This window comes from Homo sapiens, chromosome 10 (genome assembly GCF_000001405.40).
Source record: "Homo sapiens chromosome 10, GRCh38.p14 Primary Assembly".
NCBI lineage: Eukaryota > Metazoa > Chordata > Mammalia > Primates > Hominidae > Homo > Homo sapiens.
Window position 1 is genome coordinate 97369290 of NC_000010.11, and position 26058 is coordinate 97395347.

The 26058-nt window shown below is 51.5% G+C and overlaps 1 protein-coding gene and 1 pseudogene across 6 annotated transcripts in view, besides 1 other annotated feature; both read right to left on the minus strand.

The window, feature by feature from the left end:
• Positions 1–26058, minus strand: part of RRP12 (ribosomal RNA processing 12 homolog) — a 45014-nt gene that overhangs the window by 12933 nt on the left and 6023 nt on the right. For 3 of the 6 annotated variants that reach the window (XM_047424903.1, NM_015179.4, XM_011539556.3), the window contains 22 exons: positions 24395–24471; positions 21450–21555; positions 21134–21250; positions 19200–19335; positions 18963–19090; positions 16606–16704; positions 15877–15968; positions 12426–12537; positions 12097–12194; positions 11510–11624; positions 10339–10481; positions 10004–10125; positions 4541–4605; positions 4286–4448; positions 3757–3911; positions 3447–3514; positions 2784–2877; positions 1634–1792; positions 1427–1507; positions 1166–1271; positions 878–985; positions 136–293 (listed from right to left, as the gene is read on the minus strand). In XM_047424903.1, the coding sequence (XP_047280859.1) occupies positions 136–293; positions 878–985; positions 1166–1271; positions 1427–1507; positions 1634–1792; positions 2784–2877; positions 3447–3514; positions 3757–3911; positions 4286–4448; positions 4541–4605; positions 10004–10125; positions 10339–10481; positions 11510–11624; positions 12097–12194; positions 12426–12537; positions 15877–15968; positions 16606–16704; positions 18963–19090; positions 19200–19335; positions 21134–21250; positions 21450–21555; positions 24395–24471 (2502 nt within the window). Of the gene's footprint in view, positions 1–135; positions 294–877; positions 986–1165; positions 1272–1426; positions 1508–1633; positions 1793–2783; positions 2878–3446; positions 3515–3756; positions 3912–4285; positions 4449–4540; positions 4606–10003; positions 10126–10338; positions 10482–11509; positions 11625–12096; positions 12195–12425; positions 12538–15876; positions 15969–16605; positions 16705–18962; positions 19091–19199; positions 19336–21133; positions 21251–21449; positions 21556–24394; positions 24472–26058 lie in introns of those variants that run through there. The other 3 variants (NM_001145114.1, NM_001284337.2, XM_047424904.1) reach the window with 3 other exon arrangements.
• RPL34P20 (ribosomal protein L34 pseudogene 20) lies at positions 23885–24293 on the minus strand (annotated as a pseudogene).
• Positions 24958–25125: a silencer, noted in NCBI's record as "fragment chr10:99154004-99154171 (GRCh37/hg19 assembly coordinates)". NCBI's record gives its function as "represses an EF-1alpha promoter that drives an FKBP-Casp9 reporter gene in an ReSE screen in K562 erythroleukemia cells {active_cell/tissue: K562}" and the evidence as "EXISTENCE:reporter gene assay evidence [ECO:0000049][PMID:32094911]".

Here is a 26058-nt window from a genome sequence, read left to right on the forward strand (position 1 = left end):
CCCTTTTAGGGCTCCTTAATGACCTCTGGCTACAAAAAAAATAGTTTGAAACTTGCTGGCCTCGAAGCTTGCCAGGTCCATGCCAACAGCTCAGAGGCCACCCTGCTACCTGCTAAGGGGAACGGGGACACTCACCACCAGCTGCACATGTTTGGCCAGGTGCGCCACGTCCATGACAGTCACTGCCACCTTGATGAAGCCCAGTGCAGACTTGACCACGTCACGGGTGCGGGAGGCCAGAAGCAGGCACACATTCTCCAGCAGCTGCTCCACTGTACTGGTCCCCATCAGACCTGTGGCAGTGAGGGGGTCACTGTCTAAGACACCCAGGACCCCACTCAGACCCAAACCTTCCCCACTGGAAAACAGCCACTCAAGTGTCAGTAAAAGCTGACATTGAGAGCCTTTCCGTATGCCCGGGATGGTTCCAATCACGCTCCATGGAGTGGTCTTGGGTCCTTTCGTCACCCTGAGGTGGGTGCTATTTCTTGCTTCCATTTTAGAGATAAGAAACTGAGGTGCTAAGAGGCTAATCAAGCTGTTCTAGGTCTCATGTGGTTGCCAAGAGGCAGGACTAGGACTAAAATCCAGGCATCAGCCCTAACCACCTCCTAACCACTCTGACAATGGGATGCAGGGCCACTGGACTGCACAGTCACACGTGGGGACAGACCTGAGGAAGGTGCCTTGGCATAGCCGCAAGGGCGGGAGGCAGCGACCCGCAGGAAGGGAGACAGGGAGGCAAACTGGGCTGGGTGTGGCTTTTCTTACTTCCTCCAGGCACCTTTTCCCAGTTCCAGGAGCCACTTTATCCTGACCTTTTGGGCATCTTCCTAATCTGAGGGCTTCTCAGGCCTTCTAGGAAATAAGCATTTACCTTTAAACTCGAAAAGGAGGTGGGTCAGGGCCAGGATGCTGCAGCTGACCATGGTCACCGCGCCCACCAGGCCAGGGTAGATCAGGACGAGGTAGCACTGCAGGGCCTCTGGGGACAGAGACCAACGTGGGTCAAGCAGGAAGGACCCACCAGGTAGGGGGGCTGAGGGCCAGAGAGGAGCAGCCTGCCCAGGGCCAGGGCACAGAGCTCTCCCCACCTTTTTTGAGGGGTGCTTCCCCCCACCCAGTCTATGAGCAGAGTGTCCACCCCCAGCCCCCTGGGCCTCACCTTCCTGGTTCGAGCCAAACCTTAGGAAAGCATGGCCCATCTCCACGAGCAGTGCAAAAGCGTTCTTCCGTGCGCCCACCGACACCTCCTTGGTGCACAGGATCACCTGGCCAAGACAACTCCATCAGCATCTGCTCCCTGAGCCATCTGCCCGGGAAGCGAATCGAGTCCTCCCACTCCCATCACTGCCCTCCCTGGATCCTGAGGCCCTTAAGAGCCACATTCCAGGGACCCCCCTCTAAAACACACCCGCACACTCACCTCTGGGATGAGGGCAGTGATGAACTCCTTGTGTTCAGCTGAGAGCTTCCTCACGATGTGTAGGAGGCACTTCAAACGGGGCTGTGGGCAAAGGGCTACCAGTCAGGACCCCTCAATGCTACCTCCACCCAACAAGCCTCAACAGTGGCTCCTTTCCTGGTGTTGCCCAGGCTCCCTCGGCAGAGCGGGTGGCCCTAGAGCCCTCACCCTCTTGGCGGGTGAGGAGGTGCTCCGCAGCGAGTCCAGCAGTGTCTTCTTCAGGTCCTCCAGGTGGCTCTGCACGAAGAGGGCCCCGGGGCCCTGAGGACTGGCACACACCTCCTCCAGCACTCGGTAGGCCTTCTTCTGCACCCCGTGGGCCTTGCTCTGGCAGACAGGAACCGGTGAGGGAGGCCTGGGGCTCACTCCCTGTCCAATGCTATCCACGGAGCATCCCCCAGCACTGGAGGGATTCTGAGCAGGGGTCCGTGGGGGCTCATGTGGCTTGACAGAGGACCAGTGGAATGTGGACAGCGAGTGGCTAACTCCTGGGCGAGGCACAGGGGTTGGGGGTGTGTGCCGTGGGGCCCACCAATCCACTCCACTCACCCAGCTCTGGACAGTGCTCACTCCAGTGGCCTGAGCTCATGGTGCCTGGCACGCGCCAAGGCCTGCACATCTGCTGCTCTTTCTAGCCGGAGCACTCTTCTCTCTCCTTCCAAGACTGACAACTCCTTGCTCCTCCAAACCAGCTCTCTGTCACACTCCCCCAACCCCCAACGCCGGACACCTTTCCTGAGGTGACGTGGCCTGGCCCTGGATTTCCATGTCCACCTGCAGTGCTGCCCCAGAGCACTTCTCACACTGTTAGGTAACTGCTACTAAACTGTGGCAATGGGGGCAGCTTTCAGGGGGTCACTGCTGGGCTGAGATCTGCAGGGTTGCTGGCCACAGCAGAGGGCATTTCAAGCTGAGGACCCAAACCCTGCAAAGGCACAGACAGGGCCTGTTATATCAGGGAGGCTTAAGGCAGCTGAAGGAGGCTGCAGCAGAAGTAGAGAGTGGACTGGGTGGGATAAAGCTCAGGCCGGTCTGGGATGGGCCTGGGGAGTGAGCCAGGCAAAGGAGCATGGCCTTGGTTCTACAAGAGTCACTCAGCACGCAAGGCCTAAGCACAGCTGTGCATTTCAGTCCCTTTGGGACCTGCAAGACAGATGGGCTACACAGGACACAAAGAGAAGCCACTGCAGGAGAAAGCAGACAGGGACCTGATCTCGGGAAGCAGCAAGGGACAAAGACATGAAGACAGGCCCCACCTTCCCACAGCCCATCTGCCCCCAAGCGTGGCTGTGTGGCGCTCCTGGCCCCCGAGGCTCACCTCTAGGTAGGGCCGGATGGTGGAGTATAGCTTACTGATGGCAGCTTCGTCAGCACACGGAGCCAAGGCCACGACCAGGTCCAGGACAGACAATCTGCTCGGGGCAGGAGGACAAGGAGAGGGATGGGGAGCTGGAGAAGGGCGCAGACTACCAGTGTTCTTACGTCTACTGGGTATGGGGAGGTGGGAGAAGTCAGGGTGAGGACAAGGGGCTTGAAGGAGCTCATGAACAATAATAATAGCTAGTACCTAACTGAGCATTCATGATGTACCAGTCACCGTTCCTGGTGTTTTACACCTGCTAACTCCTTCAATCCTCATAGCAACCTTGTTGCAAGAACTATTATCGTGCCCATTTTACAGATGAGGCCTTAGAGGCAGAATGGATAAGTAATTTGTCCAAGGTCACACAGCCCATGAGTGACGGGGCTGGGATCAGAACCTGGGCAGTGTATCTCCTGGGTCCTTGTTCCTCCCTACCAGACTAAATGGCCTCTCCAGGAAGAAGGAACTAGTCAGCACAGCCTCTCAGCACAGCCTGGAGAGTTAATACTTCAAGGCTTCCTTAAATAATGCAAGAGGGAACCCACAGTGCTTCTGCCAGATGCACCCTCCAGCTCCCTGGGCTGCTCCAGCTCAAGTGGGAGGCCCTGAGCATGTTACCTGGTAAAGTCAGAGCTGGCAGGGTCGAGCACCTTCTCACTGGCTTTTTCCAGGAGACTGTTCACCAACTTGTGGCCCCGAGGGAATGAGGAGAAGAGAGTCATTGGGGAGGAGCGAAAGAAAGCAGCAATGGCAGCAGTCCCAGAGCGGCCTCCCCATCAGCCCCCAGCCCTGCCCAAGCCATGACTGCTGGTATGTGCTCCAAAACACAGAGACCCACGTGAGCCCTGGTGGGTAGGGTCTCGGCCTCTCTGACCCTGCCCACCTGAGAGCTCCCCTCCTCCCTCCTTCCCTCCCTTCCGTGGCTCACCTGAGTGTCAGTGATGGTGAGGTAAGTTCTGATGGTTTCCAGCACAGCCCGGCGAGGGGCTGGAGTGTCCCCGGCTGCCACGGGCTGCCCATACAGGTTGAAGAGGATCGGCAGAAAGTTCTTGGCAAAGCGACTCACTTCAGCACGGTCAGCCTCTGGTAAAAGGATCAAAGTTTGCACTAAAGGCACAGGAGCTGACTGTGCCTCAGTGGCTGCTGGGGCTGTGGCCCAGAGGCCCTCTCTTGGGGGAGCTGGCAGGACTTGGAATCCATGGGTTTGGGGCTCTCTGTGGCAGAAGCTGAGCCAGGGCATGGAGAGCCTGGTGCCCCAGTGGCCCATGGTCCTCGATGGCTCCAACCCCAGGGAGCCAGCAAAGTTATCCCCTGGGGTCTGCAGCAGAAGCAGCAAAGGATGAGCTCCAGAGGTGAGTTTCTGTGGCTCTGCCTGGCAAGGAGTGTAGCAAGCCAGGGGATGGGGCCAGGGACCTGTGTCATCCTCCCCAGCCCCCACTCCCACAGCCCACACGTACCTGCCTGGCAGCCCTTGGTGATGAGGGTGCGCAGGGCCTGGCACACGGTGACCCTCAGGTCTGGACGCTCGCTGATGGCCATGCCCAGCGTCCGTGCCAGCCCTTTGAAGGAGATGGCCACATCTGTAGGCCTTGTGCAGAACCCAGGCAGGAGTGTCCACATCTGGAGAAGGAGGGGACAATAAAGGAAGGTGACACGCAGCCACCTGTGCCCCTGTGTGCTTCTCCCCACGCCCTCCCCCAGCTGACCCTTACCTGCCACTGGAGTGTGTCGTAGATCTTAGATTCCACTGTGCTGCCTGCCTGAGCCAGGTCCATGGCTGCAGTGTGACAGAGGGACAGAGTGTGAGCCCAGCACCCTCCTGGCCAACAGCCTTATTTACCAAACCAAACCAAAAGCCCAATGATGAGGACAGGAATATGGGTGACTTCCCCCCATCTCCATGAATTAAATCATACTTGTTCATTCTAAAATACTCAAATGAACCTATAATAAACAGAAAGCAAACGTCTCTCCATACTCTTACTCCCCCAGAGATAGCCTCTGTTTCTTGTTACTTTTTTATACTTCTTTAAACACATGCCCAATTTTTTTTGTTTGTTTGTTTTGTTTGAGACAGGGTCTCACTTTGTGGCCTAGGCTGGAATACAGTGGCGCAATCTGGGCTCACTGCAGCCTTGACCTCCCAGGCTCACGCGATCCTCCTACCTCAGCCTCCCAAGAAGCAGACTACAGGCGTGCATGCCACCACACCCACCTAACTTTTTGTAGACGTAGGGTTTCACCATGTTGCCCAGACTGGTCTCGAATTCCTAAGTTTGAGCGATCCATGTGCCTCGGCCTCCCAAAGTGCTGGGATTACAGGTGTGCAACACTGCACCCAGCCACATGCCCACTTTGTAAAACATAAACAGGGGCTGGGTGCAGTGGCTCACACCTGTAATCCCAGCACTTTGGGAGGCTGAGGCGGGCAGATCATGAGGTCAGGAGATTGAGACCATCCTGGCTAACATGGTGAAACCCCGTCTCTACTAAAAATACAAAAAATTAGCCGGGAGTGGTGGCAGGCACCTGTAGTCCCAGCTACTCGGGAGGCTGAGGCAGGAGAATGGAGTGAACCCGGGAGGTGGAGCTTGCAGTGAGCCGAGATCGTGCTATTGCACAACAGCCTGGGTGACGGAGCGAGACTCTGTCTCAAAAAAAAAAAAAAAAAACCATAGGGAGGAATATACTATATATATAGCATTCTGTAACCTTGTTTACTTGACAATAAAGCTGGTAACATTTACTGAGCAAGTACTATGTGGTAGTCTGTAATGAGCACTTCACATGACTTTTTCATTTAATCCTCACAAAACTTGCCCATTTTAAGATGAGGAGCAGACCCTGGGAAATTAAACAAAACCTGCCCCAAGCCACGAACTGTGGAGCGGCGGAGTTGGGATATAAACCGTGTCTGTTCGACTCACCATCTGCTAAACTTGTCTGTCCCTACCTAGTGGTTTCTTTCTTTCTTTATAATGCCTACATCATATCCCAAAGTGGGACTTAAAAAATATTTTTGTAGAGACGGAGGTCTCACTCTGTTGCCCAGGCTGGCCTTGAACTTCTGGGCTCAAGAAATCCTCTTTCCTCAGTCTCCCAAGTAGCTGGAACTACAGGTGAGCCTACCACACCTGGCTAACTAAAAAAAAAAAAAAAAAATTTTTATAGAGACAGGGTCTTGCTATGTTGCCCAGGCTGTTCTTGAACTCTTGGCCTCACACAATCCTTCTGCCTCAGACTCTCAGAGTGTTGGGATTACAGGCGTAAGCTGCTGCATCTGGCCAAAAGTAGGGCTTTACCATAACTAATTTAACTGGAACCCTAATGAGAAAGATACTAGATGTGTTACAGTTTTTGCCAGTATAAGCCAATACTGTCAGGCACGTCTTTGCTAGGAACATAAATCAGTACGCACTTGTCTATCTTCTCAGGACAGATACCTGCGTGTAGTATTACCAGGACAAAGGGAATACATAACATCAGCCTTAAGAATAATGCCAGGGTTTATAGGTAACATTAATGATGGTAATGACCCTCATTTTGGGGGTTCATCTGTATTTTCTTTGATGGGCATATATTTCTATTGAAAATAGAACAAATTTTTCCTTTTTAATATCAGGAAAAACTTTAAGTTACTAATATGTGCACATTAATTCCAACAGAGTAGAAATACAATACTATTTTTACACAGAAAAAAATGCAGCCAGACATGGTGGCTCACACCTGTAATCCCAGCACTTTGGGAGGCCAAGGCGGGTGGATCACTTGAGGTCAGGAGTCCGAGACCTGCCTGGCCAACATGGCGAAAACTTGTCTCTACTAAAAATAAAAAAATTAGCGAGGGGTGATGGTACACGCCTGTAGACGAAGCTACTCAGGAGGCTGAGGCAGAATTGCTTGAAAACCTGGGAGGTGGAGGTTGCAGTGAGCCAAGATCGCACCACTGCACTCCAGCTTGGGCAACAGAGCAAGACTCTGTCTCAAAACAAACAAACAAACAAACAAACCGACCCAAACAAAGCAAAGGAAAATACATTAAAAACTTGAGTAGTAACAATTTCTGGGTGGGAAGACTGAATGACTTTTACTTTCTTTTTTTTTTTTTTTTTTTTGAGATGAAGTCTCGCTCTGTCTCCCAGGCTGGAGTGCAGTGGTGTCATCTCGGCTCACTGCAACCTCTGCTTCCTGGGTGCAAACGATTGTCCTGCCTCAGCCTCCCAAGTAGCTGGGATTACAGGTGCGTGCCACCATGCCCAGCTAATTTTTGTATTTTTAGTAGAGACGGGGTTTCTCCATGTTGTTTAGGCTGGTCTCGAACTCCTGACCTCATGATCTGCCCGCTTCAGCCTCCCAAAGTGCTGAGATTACAGGCACGAGCCACTGCGCTTGGCCTTACTTTCTTCTTTAAGCACTTCCTGTATATTCTACAAGATCATGTGTGAAATCAGGAAACTGCCCTAGAGCAGGGTTTCTCAATCTTGACAATGTGGACATTTTGGGCCTAGTACTCTTTGTTGTGTGAGGTCGTCCTGTGCATTGCAGGGTGCTTAGCAGCATCCTGGCCTCTACCCACTAGATGCCAGAGCACCCATCCCCCAACGGTAACAACCAAAAATGTCTCCAGGCATTGCTGAATGTCCTACAGGCAGCAAAATCACCCTCCTTGTTGAGAACCACTGCCCTAGACCAGGAGTCAGCCAACTTTTTGTGCAAAAGGACCAGTACTTTAAGCTCGGCAGGCCATACAATTTCTTTCTTTTCTTTTTTTTTTTTTTTTGAGACAGAGTCTCGCTGTGTTGCCCAGGCTGGAGTGAAGTGGTGCGATCTTGGCTCACTGCAACCTCCGCCCCCCAGAGTCCAAGCGTTCTCCTGCCTCAGCCTCCCGAGTAGGTGGGATTATAGGCACCTACCACCATGCCTGGCTAATTTTTGTACTTTTAGTAGAGATGGGGTTTCATCATGTTGGCCAGGCTGGTCTCAAGCTCCTGACTTCAGGTGATCCACCCACCTCGGCCTCCCCGAGTGCTAGGATTACAGGTGTGAGCCACTGTGCCCAGCCCACGGTACGTATGATTTCTATCACAATAACTCTGTCATTAAAAAGTAGTGTGACAGGCTGGCCATGGTGGCTCATGCCTGTACTCCCAGCACTTTGGGAGGCCGAGGCAGGTAGATTTTCTGAGGTCAGGTGTTTGAGACCAGCCTGGCCAACATGGTGAAACCCCATCTGCACTAAAAATACAAGAAATTTTTAAAAAGTGAGCCAGGTGTGGTGGCACATGCCTGTAGTCCTACCTACTTGGGAGGCTAAGGCAGGAGAATCGCTTGAATCTGGGAGGCAGAGGTTGCAGTGAACTGAGATCGTGCCACTGCACTCCAGCCTGGGTGACAGAACAAGAATAAATGTGTATGTGTCTGTGTTTCAATAAAATTGTATGTACAGGCTTGGCACAGTGGCTCACGCCTGTAATCCCAACACTTTGGGAGGCTGAGGCAGGTGGACCGCCTGAGGTCAGGAGTTCAAGACCAGCCTGGCCAACATGGTGAAACCCCATCTATACTAAAAATACAAAATTAGCTGGGTGTGGTGGCAGGTGCTTGTAATCCCAGCTCCTTGGGAGGCTGAGGCAGGAGATTCTCTTGAACCCAGGAGGCGGAGATTGCAGTGAGCTGAGATCGCACCTTTGCACTCCAGCCTGGGTGACAAGAGCAAGACTTCATCTCAAAAAAAAAAAAAAAAAGAAAAAAAAAGAAAATTTATTTACAAAAACAGACAGCGGATGAAATAGTTTAGCAATGCTGCCCTACATCCTCAAAATCCACAAAATCCAATGAAAACGAAAAGCTTCTGAAGCCATCACTAGGCTGAGCAATGTAACCCCATGCTCTGCCTATCCTCACGTAGGCCTGAGTCTGCCTAAGGCCTGAGTCTGCCTAACACAGGTCAGGAGTAAACTAGAAGATAAATAGAGAGAGGAGACCATGATCACGAAGGATAAGAAACTATGCCTGAAAGGAGAGGGGCAGGGGACTGGGGATGTGCAGCCTGAAGAAAGAACACCTCTGGGGTAATCATTTTCAAATACATACATATGATCTACAGTCATGCATCGCTTGACAGGGTGCGTTCTGAAAAATGCATCGGTAGGTGATTTTATTGTGTGAGCAGCATAGAGTGTATTTACAAAAACCTAGATGGCACAGCCCCTACACACCTGGGCTATGTGGTATAGTCTATTGCTCCTAGGCTACAAACCTGGACAGCATGTTGCTGTACTGAGTGCTGCAACTGTAATACAATGCTAAGTATGTGTATATCTAAACACACGTAAACATTGAAAAGTACAGTAAAATACGGTATTATCATCTTATGAGACCACCATCATTGAAACGTCATGTGGCGTGTGACTGTGTATGTGTACATACATATATACTCATATATATAAATACACCTGGCTGGGCACGGTGGCTCACATCTGTAATCCCAGCACTTTGGGAGGCCGAGGCAGGCAGATCACCTGAGGTCAGGAGTTTGAGACCAGTCTGGCTGCCATGGCAAAACCCTGTCGCTACTAAAAATACAAAAATTAGCCAGGTGCAGTGGTGGGTGCCTGGAGTCCCAGCTACTCGGGAGGCTGAGGCAGGAGAATCACTTGAACCCGGAAGGCGGAGGTTGCAGTGAGCCGAGATTGCGCCACTGTGCTCCAGCCTGGGCAACAAGAGCAAAACTCCGTCTCAAAAAATAATAATAATAAAATAAATAAATAAATAAATACACCTAGAAGTATATAAAAGTATATATACATATAAACAAACATATCACAAATTTTTACAAAATCAATCTCAAGGGCTTGCATGAGGAAGAAGGGGCACAGCTGTTCTCTGTGATCCAAAGGGGAAGAACAAGGCCCAGTTGGGGCAGCTCCATGTGGAGGCAGCTCCTGTCTCACAGGGCAAGCTCTGCCACAGGGAGGGCCACCTGGCCTCGCCTTGGAGCAGCAGGGAGGGAGACAGGCACTCCAGCACTGGCTGGCCACCTGCTCGGCAGAGGGATGTTGCCAAACGTCTTGAAGGCTGGGTGTGTGGGACTCAGCACCCTTCCCAATCCCTTCTGTGGAGGTTCCAGGACTGTGGGGAGCCTCAGGTCACACACAGGCAAGGGTCTCTCCTACCTTTGCTCTTCAGGGTGTTAGCCAGGGGCAAGAAGTAGGTGGTGAAAAAACCAAGTCGCGTTTCCTGAACATGGTCTCGGATGACAGGCAGCAGCCAGCTCCGTGGGAAATCCAGAGTCTCCCTGGGAAGAGAATGGGAAGAACCCAATGAGGATGAGGGGACAGCCCTGAGGGCAGTGCATAGCATACTGAGCCCAGGACAGAGTAAGACCTCCTCTGGCCCCTCCTGCTGAGCCCTGCACTGACACAGACTTTAGCCCACAGCAGCAGACATCCTTTCCAGGGGAGAGAACAAGCCTGGGGCTTGTCAGGAAGCCAGCCAGGGCCACACTTACTCAGAGCCATCAATTTCCAAAGGCACAGCCTGCAGCACCACCTCAGGTCCCATACTGGTCACCGCAGCCCCCACTGCCTGGTCAAGAGCCGCCGTGTGGGGGAAATGAGGGGAGAGGCGCAGGTCACACAGGGACTGGAGGCACTGCAGCAGAGATGAGTGACCACACATCAAGACATGCTCGAAAGCAGGGACCCATGACAAGACCCCGCTGAACGATGAGGCTGGAATTCTGGGCCTGGGTTCAACGCTACACCAGAGGGTACAGACTGAGAACCCAATTAACCACTGGTGACTGTAAAATCCCAGGGCCTAGGATTTTACAAAATTCTGTTACATTTAACAACATGTAAAAATTAGAAAGTTTCACACACAAATGTAGATTTCCAATTTATCTTCGAAAATGGGACAAATGTATCTTGTCTGCATGCAACAATTAGCAAATCAGCAGGCGCTGAGGAGACAGAGGTGCACCCCTGGGTTCACTATGGCCACAGCCCTCCCCCAGCCACACTTTCAAGGCCCTGCCTGGCCTCTTGTATAAAGCCAAACTGGTCAACCTAATTTATCAGGGCTCAGGCCAGGCCTCTTGATGGAGACCCTGTCCTCCCACCAGGGTTCCTTTTTTCCAGCAATGGGAGGGAGTCAGTGAGGAAGGCCCCACGAGGCCAGGAGCTGCTGTCTCTGCTGATGCGGGACCAGTCTGGGGGCTGTCCTCAGGCCCCCACTCTCTCCTGGACTACGGTCTGCTCAGGATCCCTGAGTGATCCCTGATCCTTAAATGGTTAACCCTGGACTGGAGGAACCTCCGTGGGACCTAGGGCTGTTTAGAACTTCAATGCTATACTCACTGGTTATAGGAAACTTAGATAATTAAAATTTAAAAGATAAGGGGTGGGGATAAGGGAAAGCAAATAGACTCCCTAAGTTTCAAAACCAGTAACTCCAGCAAAGACTAGTGAGCAGGTGGGGGGACTGCCACCCTTTTTCCTGCCCCTCCCTTGTTGGCCCAGTCACCTTCCAGGGGATACTGCATGGGGCACCTGCTATGGCCCTGTCAGGGTGGGGTGCGGAGCAGGGTGCAGAGATAACAGAGACACGTGCCCTCCAGGAGCCCATAGTCCAAGAGCCAGCACCACTTCCTGCCCTGGCCCCAGCCGCTCCCCACTCACCTTCCTCATCACAGGGTGGGCCTGTCTCCCACACGCCTCGAAGAAGACACACAGCAGCTGCAACACGGAGCTCCAGGCCGCATGGAATTTGTACGTCAGGCCCTCCTCCACTGCCCTGCCAAGGGGGCGGCACAGTCAGGGCCACGGTCACACCACCCTGTGCCCCCCACCAGAGAAAGTCAACGGCCAGCACCCTGAGCTACAGACGCTAGCTGGCCAGCAAGAATGGGGCCCCAGGAGAGACAACAGAAGAGAACTAACATTTGTGACATGCCCACACTCCCTATGTTAAGAGTTTAATTTAGATAATGCTAGTGCTTAAAGAAAAACCAATGAGGTAGTTATCTGACCCAACTTCAGATGGGGAAACCTCTAGGAAACCAAGAGGTGAGGTGTGGCTAAAACATGGCAGGTGCTCAAGTCCACGGTAGCTGCTCCGGCAGATGTTCAGTAAGCAGCCTGCAATCCCGTAAAGCACTGCCACTGCAGGCCTGGCCCACAGTAGGTGGAGAGTGGAGCATTCGTATTATATAGAACTTTCCTCAAGGTACCACCATCCCTTCCTAACATGGACCCCATATCCTCACCTGAACATCTTGGCAACAGATTGGGCAGGGCCTGAGGCCGAGGAGGTCACGGAGCCAATGTCAGCCATGTGGGGAGCCACGCATTCCTTCAGGATCTCCTGCGAAGAGAGGCCACAGGCTTTCTGGGCCCAAGGCAGCCCCCCAGGACCACTCTCCCCTCCCAGGCAACAGTTTCCTGGGAGTCTAAGAAAGCTTCGAAGAAACCTATCTCCCATTTTGAGAGCGGCCTCTCTGGGCCCGAGCTGGTAGCCTGGGGCCAGTGCTGGGAAAGACAGGGCAGCCCATAGAACCCCCTGTGCTCTCTGCTTCCTCAGCTAAAGTTGCAGTACCTTGAGGCTCTGCGTAGCAGCAGTCAGCACTTGCGAGTGTGGGGAAAGGAGGCAGGTCACCGCAGTTCCAAAAAAGCGAGGGAGGTGGCCTAGCCCCAGGTCCCACTGCAACCTGTCAAGACAAAAGGTTTCTGTGGGGCCTGGCCTGAGCCCTGGGGACCCGGGCAACCAGGGCTCAGGGCTGAGACGGCCCAGCTCTGAAAACAGTCACAAACCCAGTGATCTGCAGGGCTCCGTAGGGCCCTTCTGGTGGGTGGTTTTTAAAAAGGCACTATCGTTCAAGTAATAACTACATGTGGTAGAAAATTCAAACAGGTCTTCAAGGTGTAAAATGAAGGGCATGCCTTCCCTAACTCACCCTTCTGGCCTGACCCTTATATGTACTTCCAGGGGAAAATCAAGGTTAAGTTTCTTAAATACCCTTCCAGAAGTTCTAAAATGCACAAACATGAAAACAGTAACTTCTGCTAACTTTTTTTTTTTTGCAGTGGTACAATCATAGCTCACGGAGTCTCAAACTCCTGGGCTCAAGTGATCCTCCCACCTCAGCCTCCTGAGTAGCTGGGGCTACAGGCACATGCCACCATGCTCAGCTAATCTTTTTATTTTTTGTAGAGACAGGATCTCACTGTGTTTCCCAGGCTAGTCTCGACCTTCTGGCCTCAAGTGATCCTCCTGCCTTGGCTTCCTAAAGCCCTGTGATTACAGGCATAAGCCACTGCACCTGGCCTGGTAGCATTTATGTAACTCTTATCATATACCAATCACTGATATAACATACATTCATTTAAACCTTGTAACAACTAATGAGATAAATCCTATTATTTTTCCATTTTATAGATGAGGAAAGACACAGAGAAGTCAAATAACTTGCCCAAGGCCACCCAGCTTGGTAATGGGGTCAGGATTCACACCCTTAGCAATGTGGTTCCAGAGTATACATAGAGAAACAATCACATCATACCTGCTATTCTATGTCTTGCTTTTTCTCCAATATATCTTGGAGTTCTTTCCATATAAGTGCACATACAACCACTTTGACTGTTTCTATTTTTTTTTTTTTTTGAGATAGGGTCTCACCCTGTCACCCAGGCTGGAGAACAGTGGTGCGATCTCAGTTTACTGCAACCTCCACCCCAGAGGTTCAAGCGATTCTCGTGCCTCAGCCTCCCAAGTAGCTGGGATTACAGGTGTGTACCACCACACCCAGATAATTTTTGTATTTTTAGTGAAGATGGGGTTTCGCCATTTTGGCCAGGCTAGTCTCAAACTCCTGGCCTCAAGTGATCTGCCCATCTCGGTCTCCTAAAGTGCTGGGATTATAAGCGTGAGCCACTGTGCCAGGCCCACTTTGATTGTTTCTAATGGCTGCACAGTACTTCATTGTTTATATTTCACCCCTCTGTGGGACACTTAGCTTGCTTCCAGTTTTTATATGTTACCTAGAGTACGATGATAAGCATCCCGGGACGCACAATGGGGCCTAACTGTGGGTGTGCTCCTGCGGGCTGAAGCATGAGAAGTGGTGAATGGGGTGATTTTGCCATTTTTGTACACCTCCCAGTAAAGGCGGTTTGATGCAGGAAAAAGAATGTGGGCTGGGCAGACCTGGGCCAGAGACCTGGCCTTACTCATCAGGGCTGTGTGACTAGCTCACTCACAGAGCCTTTGTTTCTGGCTTATAAATTGGGGCTAAACCCTTCCTCATGGGGTTGCTGTGACTAGTGAAAGGAAACACAGATGAACAGTGTTTGGCACACGCCTGGGTGACAGCAGGCTGCCTGGGTGAGGGCAGGCCGTTGGAACCCTTAGCTGAGAAGACAAACCCAGCAAAAGAGAGCCACGAGGTCTAAGAGGCCCTTGCCTCCCTCCATGCAGGTCACCAACTGGTTACTGTATACTGTTTCTTCTCAGCCTTATTCCAGAAAAGTGGAATTACTATTAAGTGGCCAAGCCTGAACCCTGAAAGTATGCAGACACAAAGCAGAAAGTCGGTTCACGGGACTACGGAACCTGGAGAACGGAGCCGCCAGTCCAGGCGAGAGTGGAGTGGAGCCACAGAAAGGATATCCCATGGCCAGGAAACTGAGTGCACAGGAAGACACAGCCAGGGAGCGGCAAGAGGCAGGGTGAAACTCAGGCCTCAACCTGGGACGCAGGGCTCGCAGCCCACCTTGCTGTTCCTCCCGGCTGGCTGGCAAACGCTCTGGCAGGAATCAGACCCTGTCAGAACGAGCTGCACTGTCCTACCCCGTGCCTCACAAAAACAAGAGCTGCTCTGTAGCTCACTTGACATGGAGATGCCGTCAGGCCCCAGGAGGCTGAACAGCCTCTCCAGTCTCCGGCTCACGTCCCCTCCACCTCCGGCAGCCAGGACGGAGGCCCTGAGCACCCCCAACCTCAGCAGCCAGGACGGAGGCCCTGAGCACCCCCAACCTCAGCAGCCAGGCCAGAGGCCCTGAGCATCCCCAACCTCAGCAGCCAGGATGGGGCTCTGAGCACCCCCAACCTCAGCAACCAGACGCAGGCCCTGAGCACCCCGAACCTTGGCAGCCAGGACAGAGGCCCTGAGAACTCCACAACCTCAGCAGCCAGGACGGAGGCCCTGAGGACCCCCAACCTCTGCAGCCTGGAGGGAGGCCCTGAGGACCCCCCACCTTGGCAGCCTGGACAAGAGGTCCTAAAGACCCCCCAACCTTGGCAGCCAGGATGGTAGCCCTGAGGACCCCCAACTTCGGCAGCCTGGACGGAGGCCCTAAGGATTCCCCCACTTTGGCAGCCTGGACAGAGGCCCTGAGAACTCCATAACCTCAGCAGCCAGGATGAAGGCCTTAAGTACCCCCAACCTCAGCTGCCTGGACGGAGACCCTGAGGACCCCCAACCTCGGCAGCCAGGACGGAGACCCTGAGGACCCCCAATCTCGGCAGCCTGGACAGAGGCTCTGAGAACTCCATAACCTCAGCAGCCAGGATGAAGGCCCTAAGTACTCCCAACCTCAGCAGCCTGGACGGAGACCCTGAGGACCCCCAACCTCGGCAGCCAGGATGGAGACCCTGAGGACCCCCAATCTCGGCAGCCTGGACAGAGGCTCTGAGAACTCTGCAACCTCAGCAGCTAGGACGGAGACCCTAAGGACCCTGCAACCTCAGCCGGGACGGAGGCCCTGAGGACCCCCAATCTTGGCAGCCTGGACACAGGCCCTAAGGACCCCCCCAACCTTGGCAGCCAGGATGAAGACCCTGAGGACCCCCCACCTCAGCAGCCTGGACAGAGGCCCTGAGGAACCCCCACCTTGGCAGCCTGGACACAGGCCCTAAGGACCCCCCCAACCTTGGCAGCCAGGATGAAGGCCCTGAGGACCCCCCACCTCGGCAGCCTGGACACAGGCCCTGAGCACCCCCACCTCAACAGCCTGGACAGAGGCCCTAAGCACCCCTCCTTCATCCGTACCTCACCAGGTTGATGTGGGCTTTCTCCATGACCTTAAGCCAGGCTAGCAGGGGTTGTAAATCATTCTCACTGGGAACATAGTCGTACAGGGCCTAAAAGTGGGAATAAGCAGGTGACTGAGCATGCAGGGTCTGCAATAGCCCAGTGATGATGACCCCTTCCCATCCTGGCACCAGCAATGTCCTGGGGACAGTGCTTGTGACCCTAGCACTCACAGCCCCCTTGGCTTTCCCAGCTCCTGCCTTTCCCTTCTCCATGAAGCCCTCCCAGCTCTAATTCTTTGGGAGAACAGCCTCTAGGAGCAGCGGAGTATCATGGGTCACACACTCCTTTGTGAGTCTGACAAAAGCCAGAGGCCTTCTTTGAAAAAAAAAAACGTACATTTTGCTAACAATTTGGGGGATCTGATCCCCCCTCCCAATATCCATCCACAGACCTCTAAGGCCGAGAGCCCTGCTCAAGGTATCTATGAGCACCACGAGACCATGCTGAAACAGTTCATTAAAGTTAACTAGGTCAAGGGTCAAGGTCCCAGCTCCTGGGGACACTGATGTGAATTTGATGGCTGGTCTCCAATCTTCCTTCCCCTTCTACTGGCCTCTTCCACTAGGACAACCCAGCCCAGCCAACCTCACTCTGTAGACAAGGCGCAGGGCCAGTGCCCCCAGCACAGCCTCCCAAGGCACCACCCCCGACCTAATGCCCCCACATCCCACCAACAGGCCTCACCGTGATGATCTGGGCGTTGAGCTCTGCTGACAGGGTGCTCAGGCCAGGCCTGGCGTGGAAGAGGCTGTGAAAGGCCTGCATGGCACAGGCTGTCACCAGCTGGAGGGGGACACACAGGCTTAGAAAGGAACTACAAAGCCCACGGCTGGCCCTGGACCCCTCAACTCCACCTGTGTGCTAGGGAGTTGAGGGCCCCCTGAACCTCACACATGCCCCCCACACAGAGACACCCTGAGGACTGCCACCTTAGTAAGACATGGAAGCCACTGAAAAAGCTTTAAATGTCTTAAACAAAGATAGAAACATTAACAAAATGGTTTTAACATAACAGCCAAAAAAGCAGGCTATAAACGGTCTGTTACAGCTGTATTTTTTTTTTTTTTTTTTTTGAGACAGAATCTTGCTCCGTTGCTGGATACAGGGGTGAGACCAATACAGGTGCATGCCACTGTGCCTGGCCAATTTTTTAATTTTTATAAAGACAGAGTCTCGTCTCACTATGTTGCCCAAGCTGGTCTCAAATTCCTTGCCTCCTGCCTTAGCCTCCCAAGTGCTAAGGTTACAGGTGTGAGCCACTGCACCTGGCCTTTACATGTTTTATCATGTATATTTGTTTATCCAAAGAGAAAATGTCTGAAAGGATACCCAGAAAGTTATTTGCACTGTCTACCTTAGGAAACAGGATTTGGAGGGAAGGAGATTTTTACTTTATACACTTCTGAATTGTTTTTCCCTTTTAAACAATGATCATATTATTTATATTTTACAATTTTAAAAATATGTATGTAAATAAACACTACAAGAGAATATACAAGGCCGGGTGCAGAGGCTCACATCTGTAATCCCAGCACTTTGGGAGGCCGAGGTGAGTGGATCACGAGGCCAGGAGATCGAGAGCATCCTGGCTAACACGGTGAAACCCCGTGTCTACTAAAAATACAAAAAACTAGTCAGGTGTGGTGGCGGGCGCCTGTAGTCCCAGCTACTCGGGAGGCTGAGGCAGGAGAATGGCGTGAACCCGGAAGGCGGAGTTTGCAGTGAGCCGAGACCACGCCACTGCACTCCAGCCTGGGTGACAGAGCGAGACTCCATCACAAAAAAAAAAAGAGAGAGAACACACAGTGAGTTGGCGGGGGTATCTGTGGGGGATTGGTTCCAGGACCCCCCATGGACATAAAAATCTACCAATGCTCAAGTCTCTATATTAAATGGTGTAGTATTTCCATATAACCTACACGCATCCTCCCATACACTTTAAATCACCTGGATTACTTATAATACGTAATACAATATAAATGCTATGTAAATAGTTGCTACACTCTGTTGTCTAAGGAATAATGACAAGGAAAAAAAACTGTACATGTTCAGTACAGAAGCAACCAACCATTTTCTTTTTCCTGAATATTTTCTTTTCTTTTTCTTTCCTTTTTTTTCTTTTTCCTTTTTTTTTTTTTTTGACATGGGGTTCTTGCTCTGTTGCCCAAGTTGGAGTGCAGTGGCATGACCATGGCTCACTACAGCCTCAACCTCCTGGGCTCAAGCAATCCTCCCACTTCCACCTCCCAAGCATCTGGGATTATAGGCGCGTGCAGCCATGCCCAGTTTCCAAATATTTTCAATCCAAGGTTGGTTGAATTTATGGCTGTGGGAACCACACATACAAAGAGCTGACTGTATAAAGATTTACAGAATTGTGCTAGAAATGGTAGAAACACAGGAAATCATTTTTCATGTGTCTTTAAAGCTGCTAAAAAAAAAAAACTCGACCGGGCGCAGTGGCTCACGCCTGTAATCCCAGAACTTTGGGAGGTTGAGGCGGGCAGATCACCTGAGGTTGGGAGTTCAAGACCAGCCTGATCAACATGGAGAAACCCCATCTCTACTAAAAATACAAAAAATTAGCTGGGCGTGGTGGTGCATGCCTGTAATCCCAGCTACTTGGGAGGCTGAGGCAGAAGAATCGCTTGAACCCGGGAGCCAGAGGTTGCAGTGAGCCAAGATCGCGCCATTGCACTCCAGCTGTGCAACAAGAGCAAAACTCGGTCTCAAAAAAAAAAAAAAAAAAAAAAAAAAATTGGTATAGGGTACATAGAGCTGGTGCAGAAGGAGGGTTTACCAGCCCACTACAGATCCACCCTGACTCTGACCTGATCTCTGAGGTCAGCTTCCATCTGGAAGGGGACTCTGATATGGCCTGGCCTAGCCAAACACCACAGAGTAACGTAGTGCTGTTGGTTTTAGCTTAAGAACACAGTCAGGGAGGGAGACCCCAGGCCCTGCATTTTGACTGACCAGTGAGTTCCCCAAATGCCACCACTGCAGGTCCCCCTTTCTCCAGCTTTTGGGCCTGAGCTCACCACATGGCTCAAGGTCATGACCCTGAGGAGAGTCTCACTGCAGCTCTTCACCAGGCCTTCCGGGAAGCAGGGCAGCAGGTCCTTCAGCAGCGTCAGCATGTGCAGCGTGGTGGTGGCCTCCTTGGAGCCTGGTATACAGAAGAGGAATTGAGACACCAGCCCCGCCCTACCGCAGGCCCTGTCCTGCTCTGCCAGCCACTGCCTCCCATCCACCTGCCCTCCATTTGGGTTCCCCACCTCCAGACTTCTCAATCTCCTGGATGCAGAACTTGGCAGTGGAAATGGCAGCAGGATGATGGGCAGGGGCCTTTTCAAACATGAATTCACTGCCCTTGAGGACTGAGCATACTCCATGCTGGGCAGCCTTCCGGATCTGAGGGGCAAGGAGAGCAGGAGACAAGGCCAGATCAGCGTTCCACCAGCATCTTGGGTGTCCGGCACAAGCACCAACCAATTAGCTTTGGCTGAAATATAGATCCAATGATGATCTGACTACTATAGATCCAGTGCTACACCAGGGCCTTCATGTGTACAGAATCCTGAGCTGTGAAGCAAGACAAACCTCAGTTCAAATCCCTGCTCTACAACTAACTCACCAAATGGCCTTAAGCAAGCCCAACTACTTAATTTCTGAGTTTCAATATCATCTTGAAAACAGGGGTTTCTTCATTCACTTAATCATCCGGCAAACACTGTGTGTCCACCAAGCCAGGCACTGTTCTAGGTCCTGGCAAACTGGCACTGAACAGCAGGCAACTCCCCTTCCAGCTGGGAGGCAGAAAACAAATACATAACAGAAGGTTAAAAAGTACTTTGCAGATAACCAAGCAGGGGCTGCTACTTTTGTTGTTGTTGTTTGTTTGAGACAGAGTCTTGCTCTGTAGCCCAGGCGGAGTGCAGTGGCGGATCTCGGCTCACTGCAAGCTCCGCCTCCCAGGTTCACGCCATTCTCCTGCCTCCGCCTCCCGAGCAGCTGGGACTACAGGCGCCCGCCACCACACCCGGCTAATTTTTTGTATTTTTAGTAGAGACGGGGTTTCACTATGTTAGCCAGGATGGTCTCGATCTCCTGACCTCGTGATCCGCCCGCCTCGGCCTCCCAAAGTGCTGGGATTACAGCCGTGAGCCACCGCGCCCAGCCAAGGGGCTGCTACTTTTTATACAGTGGTCAGGAAAGTGTCACCGCAGTGAAGTGCCACTGCAGCGAGAGCTGAAGGTGAGGAAAAGATCATGTGAGCACCGAGGGAAGGGGGCATGAGACCATCTGGGCTGACGGTGCTTAGCACTGGGAGTGATTACATGACTGTTATTGTTACCACCTCCTGCCCTAAATTTCCAGAGGAAACAGTGGGGAACCATCACTCACCAAGCACCTGCCGTGAGCCAGGAGGTGCGCCAGGCCTGTGGGGAACACTGGAGTCTCCCCACAACTCTGTAGCAAAGTAGGTGTGATTATCTCTATTTCTTTTTTTTTCTTTTGAGATGGAGTCTCGTTCTGTTGCCCAGGCTGGAGTGCAGTGGTGCAATCTTGGCTCACTGCAACCTCTGCCTGCTGGGTTCAAGCGATTCTCCTGCCTCAGCCTCCCGAGTAGCTGGGATTACAAGCACCCACCACCACACCTGGCTAATTTTTATATTTTTAGTAGAGTCGAGGTTTCACTATGTTGGCCAGGCTGGTTTCAAACTCCCGACCTCAAATGATCCTCCCACTTTGGCCTCCCAAAGTGCTGGGATTACAGGCGTGAGCCACCACATTCAGCCAATTATCTCTATTTCATAGTCAGGAAGTTGAGGCTCAGAGAGATTAAGTAACTTGCCCAAGGTCACACCTCGAGCAGTGAATTCAGGATCCAACTCAGGTCTGTGTGACTCCCCCAACTATGCCACCCTCCCTGCCGAGGTAAATAGACATATGGGGAGAGTCCACGTCAACAGGGCAATGGCTGATGAGGCACCAGAGACTCAGATAGGGCTGACAGGGAACAGCCTCCTGGAGGAGGAAGAGCCGCCCTGCCTTCTGCATCTAAATGCATGGTGCCTCAGAAGCAGAAAGCAGAAGCCAGTACTCAGGGCAAGCTCCCCAGTGCCACTCAGCTAGCCAAGTCTGGGCTGCACTGGGCTGAGTGGTGGCTGTCCCCTTGCCCCATTTTCTAGGGAGCTAGTAGTCTCACCTTGGGCTTGGGATGCACCGTGAAGCTCAGCAGCCCATGGTACACCTGAAGGGTCACGGGGTAGCCCCAGGCCTCCAGGTCTTGCTTCCGCAGAAGGGTGGCCAGGCAGGAAAGGACCTGGAAGAAAGTCAGAGTCCCTCAGTGCCACCAGCCTCGGCCAGGAGGGAAAAGAGCCCAGGTTCTCACTGACTCCAGAAAATCGCATCTGTCTGAGGTCCCCAGGGTGCCTAAACCCCTCTCAGGGAACATCTAAGCATCACCAAATCAGACAGGCTCTGGGAGTCGCCAGATGAGAAACTAAACCCCAGACACTAACCCATCGGAGGACAGAGGTGGAGCCGCTGCTGGCCTGAGCTGACATGATATCCATGAAGGCTTTGGAGGTATCAGAGAACTTCTTAATAAGCACAGGGCTGGGAACACTGTGGGAAAGAACAGAGATGGTCACCCCAGAGGGTCCCTGAAGAGCAGCTGGTGCAGCCCCTCGTGGTACTAAGGAGGACAGGGCAAGGGGCGCTGGTGGCACAGTCACTCAGAAAGTGAGCAACAAAGTCAGAATAGGCACCCACCTTATCAGCCAGCTCAGTGTGCTTTCCACCCGGGATCCCTGCCTCTCTCACCTTCCCACTACCCACTCCTAAACTCAGGACACCAATCCTCTCTCCACCTCCCCTGGCAGTTCACATCTCCAGAAAGCCTGGGGCCAACTACTCCTTCCCTCCCTTCTGCCACTCACTGCTCCAGGAATGCCCCTTCTGGGGGCCAACACTCACACTCCCTGGTATAATGACCCAGTCACCCAGGACCTTATGTTGTAGAATGCCACCTGATATACAAGTATCTTTTAAATTGTATTTTAAAATTTCTGGCCAGGCATGGTGGCTCACGCCTGTAATCCCAGCACTATGGGAGGCCAAGGTGGGCAGATAACCTGAGGTCGGGAGTTTGAGACCAGCCTGACAAACATGGAGAAACCCTGTATCTACTAAAAATACAAAATTAGCTGGGCGTGATGGCGCCCGCCTGTAATCCCAGCTACTTGGGAGGCCAAGGCAGGAGAATCACTTGAACCCGGGAGGTGGAGGGTGTGGTGAGCTGAGATTGCACCATTGCACTCTAGCCTGGGCAACAAGAGCGAAACTCTGTCTCAAAAATAAATAAATAAATAAATAAATTTCTAATTGTGGTAAAATACACATAAGATAAAACATCATTTCGGCCGGACGCAGTGGCTCACGCCTGTAATCCCAGCAGTTTGGGAGGCCGAGGCGGGTGGATCATGAGGTCAGGAGATCGAGACCATCCTGGCTAACACAGTGAAACCCGGTCTCTACTAAAAATACAAACAATTAGCCAGACGTGGTGGCGGGCGCCTGTAGTCCCAGCTACTTGACAGGCTGAGGCACGAGAACGGTGTGAACCCAGGAGGTGGAGTTGCAGTGGGAGGAGGTGGCGCCACTGCACTCCAGCCTGGGCAACAGAGCGAGACTCTGTCTCAAAAAGGAAAAAAACAACACACCATTTCAACGATATTTTTCGGTATATCATTCAGTACTGTTAAGTATATTCATGTTGTGGGTTTTTTTTTTTTCTTTTTTTGGAGACAGGGTCTCACTCGTCACCCAAGCTGGAGTGTAGTGGCACAATTAGGCTCACTGCAACCTCTACCTCCCAAGTAGTTGGGACTACAGGTGCATGCCACCACGCCTAGCTCATTTTTGTATTTTTTTGTAGAGACAAGGTTTTGCCATGTTGCCCAGGCTGGTTTCGAACTCCTGGGCTCAACAGTCCACCTGCCTCAGCCTCCCAAAGTGCTGGGATTATAGGTATGTGTCACCACACCCAGCCAAGTATACTCACATTGTTGTGCAACCAATCTCAAGAACTTTTTCATCTTAAAGAATCAAGGTTTTTTATTTTTTACTTTATTACTTATTTATTTATTGAGATGGAGTCTCACTCTGTTGCCCAGGCTGGACTGCAGTGGCTTGATCTTGGCTCAATGCAACCTCCACATTCTGTGTTCAAGTGATTCTCCTGCCTCAGCCTCCCAAGTAGCTGGGATTACAGGCATGTACCACTACACCTGGCTAATTTTGTATTTTTAGTAGAGATCGGGTTTCACCATGTTGGCCAGGCTGGTCTCCAACTCCTGGCCGCAAGCAATCCTCCTGCCTCAGCCTCCAAAAGTGCTGGGATTACAGGTATGAGCCACTGCGTCCAGCCATGACTTTTAATTTTTATTACTCAAAACAAATTTCATTTTCTTTCTATTTTTTTTTTTTTGAGACGGAGTCTTGCACTGTTGACAGGGCTGTAAGTGCAATGGCATGATCTCAGCTCACTGCTACCTCTGCCTACTGGGTTCAAGCAATTCTCCTGCCTCAGCCTCCCGAGTAGCTGAATTACAGGCACCTGCCACCATGCCCAGCTAATTTTTGTGTTTTTAGTAGGGACGGGGTTTCACCATGTTGGCCAGTTTGGTCTCGAACTCCTGACCTCAGGTGATCTGCCCACCTCAGCCTCCCAAAGTGCTGGGATTACAGGCGATCTGCCCACCTCAGCCTCCCAAAGTGCTGGGATTACAGGCGTGAGCCACAGCATGTAGCCTACCCAGCTAATTTTTATATTTTTAGTAGAGGCGGGGTTTCACCATGTTGGCCAGGATGGTCTCGATCTCCTGACCTCTTGATCTGCCTGCCTCGGCCACCCAAAGTGCTGGGATTATAGGTGTGAACCACCGCACCAGGCCAAAAAAGTTTCATTTTCAATAGAGCTTTCTGACTCTGCTTTTGCCTTCAACACTTTCACAATGATTTTCTGCTCCTCAATAAGGAAAGCACACTTGATTCTGTCATGAACACACTGAGCACACATGGAACCAGGGAAGCACTGCAGGCCCTATAGACATGCCTTTTGTTTTGGACTATCAAATAACAACTTTAGATCTCACAGCACGAGCTCCTGAATGTCTGCCTGGACACACACCACGTGAAGATTTTGGTGCTTTCCCAACCTTCTTGGCATAAAGGTAAATGATTCTATTACCAGGGGTTCAGGACAGCCTAGTTTAGTTAGAGTTTCTCACTAGAGGCCTACGACGGTATGTCACATGCTGGCCCATTCTGCATGCCTCTAGACAATGTTCATGAAGAGCAAGTATCTTTTTAAATAACAATTCCCTGATCCTGTTTCTCCTGTCCACATTCCCTTCTCCCCTCCACAAAAAGCCTTGGGGTTCAAACAGGAGGCAGAACTCACCGCTTCAGGACAAGGTTCAGCAGGTAAGCAACGGCGGCCAGGGACTCCGGGGACTCCACTGCTTCCATTGTTGTCATCTGAGGGCCAGATTGAGGGGGTTTGAATGGATAAAAACTTACACTGAGCAAACAGGAAAGAGAGTGGGGGAACATGTGCCCAGCAGAACAGTTGTGACTGAGAACCACGGTATCAGAGGTTCAGATCCTGACTCTGGCATTGTGTGGTTTTGGGCTAGTAATTTAACCTATCTGTGACTCAGTTTCTTCATTTGTAAAGTAGGGATACTAATGCTACATACCTTATACGTTGTTGTGAGGTTTAATTGAATTAATATATATAAAATACTGCCTGACACATAATTAAAACTATATATATGTGGCTGGGCGTGGTGGCTCACGCCTGTAATCCCAGCACTTTGGGAGGCCGAGGAGGGCAGATCACGAGGTCAGGAGACCGAGACCATCCTGGCTAACACGGTGAAACACCGTCTCTACTAAAAAATACAAAAAATTAGCCAGGCATGGTGGCGGGCGCCTGTAGTCCCAGCTACTCGGGAGGCTGAGGCAGGAGAATGGCGTGAACCCAGGAGGCAGAGCTTGCAATGAGCTGAGATCGTGCCACTGCACTCCAGTCTGGGTGACAGAGTGAGACTCCGTCTCAAAAAAAATAAATAAATAAACTATATATATGTTTATGTGCATATATATACAGAGATAGATAGATAGTTTTTTTGAGAGACAGGGTCTCCCAGGTTGGAGTGCAGTGGTATAATCATAGCTCACTGTAACCTTGAACTTCAAAGCTCAAGAGATCCTCCCACATCAACTTCCCAAGCAGCTAGAACTACAGGCATGCGCCACAAAGCTTGGCTAATTATTTTATTTTTTGTAGAGACAGGGTCCCACTATATTGCACAGGCTGGTGTCGAACTCCTAGCCTCAAGCACTCCTCCGATCTTGGCCTCCCAAAGTCCTAGGATTAAAGGCGTGAGCCACCACACCCAGCCAAACACCATATACTGCCATCTAATTTATTTCATTATTCTAGAGCAGAGGTTGGCAAACTTTTTCTACGAAGGACCAGATAGTAAATATTTTCGGCTTTGCATGCACACTTGGTCTCTGTTGTATGTTCTTTTTGTGTGTGTTTTAACAATTCTTTAAAAATGTAATAACCAGGCTGGGCATGGTGGCTCATGCCTGTAATCCCAGCACTTTGGGAGGCCAAAGTGGGAGAACTGATTCAGCTCAGGAGCTCAAGACAAGCTTGGGCGACATGACGAAACTCTGTCTCTACTAAAAATACAAAAATTAGCTGGGCATGGTGGCAGGCGCCTGTAATTCCAACTACTCAGGAGGCTAAGGCACGATCATCACTTGAACACAGGAGGTGGAGGTTGCAGTGAGCCATGATCACACCACTGCACTCCAGCCTGGGCAACAAAGTGAGACCCTGTCTCCAAAACAAAACAAACAACAACAAAAAAACCCAAAAACAAAATAAAAAGTATATATATACACATATACACACACACACACACATACATACATACACAAATATATTTATTTATTTAATGTAATAAGTAGGCCAGCCATGGTGGCTCACACCTGTAATTCCAGCACTTTGGGAGGCTGAGGTAGGGGGGATCACCTGAGGTTGCGAGT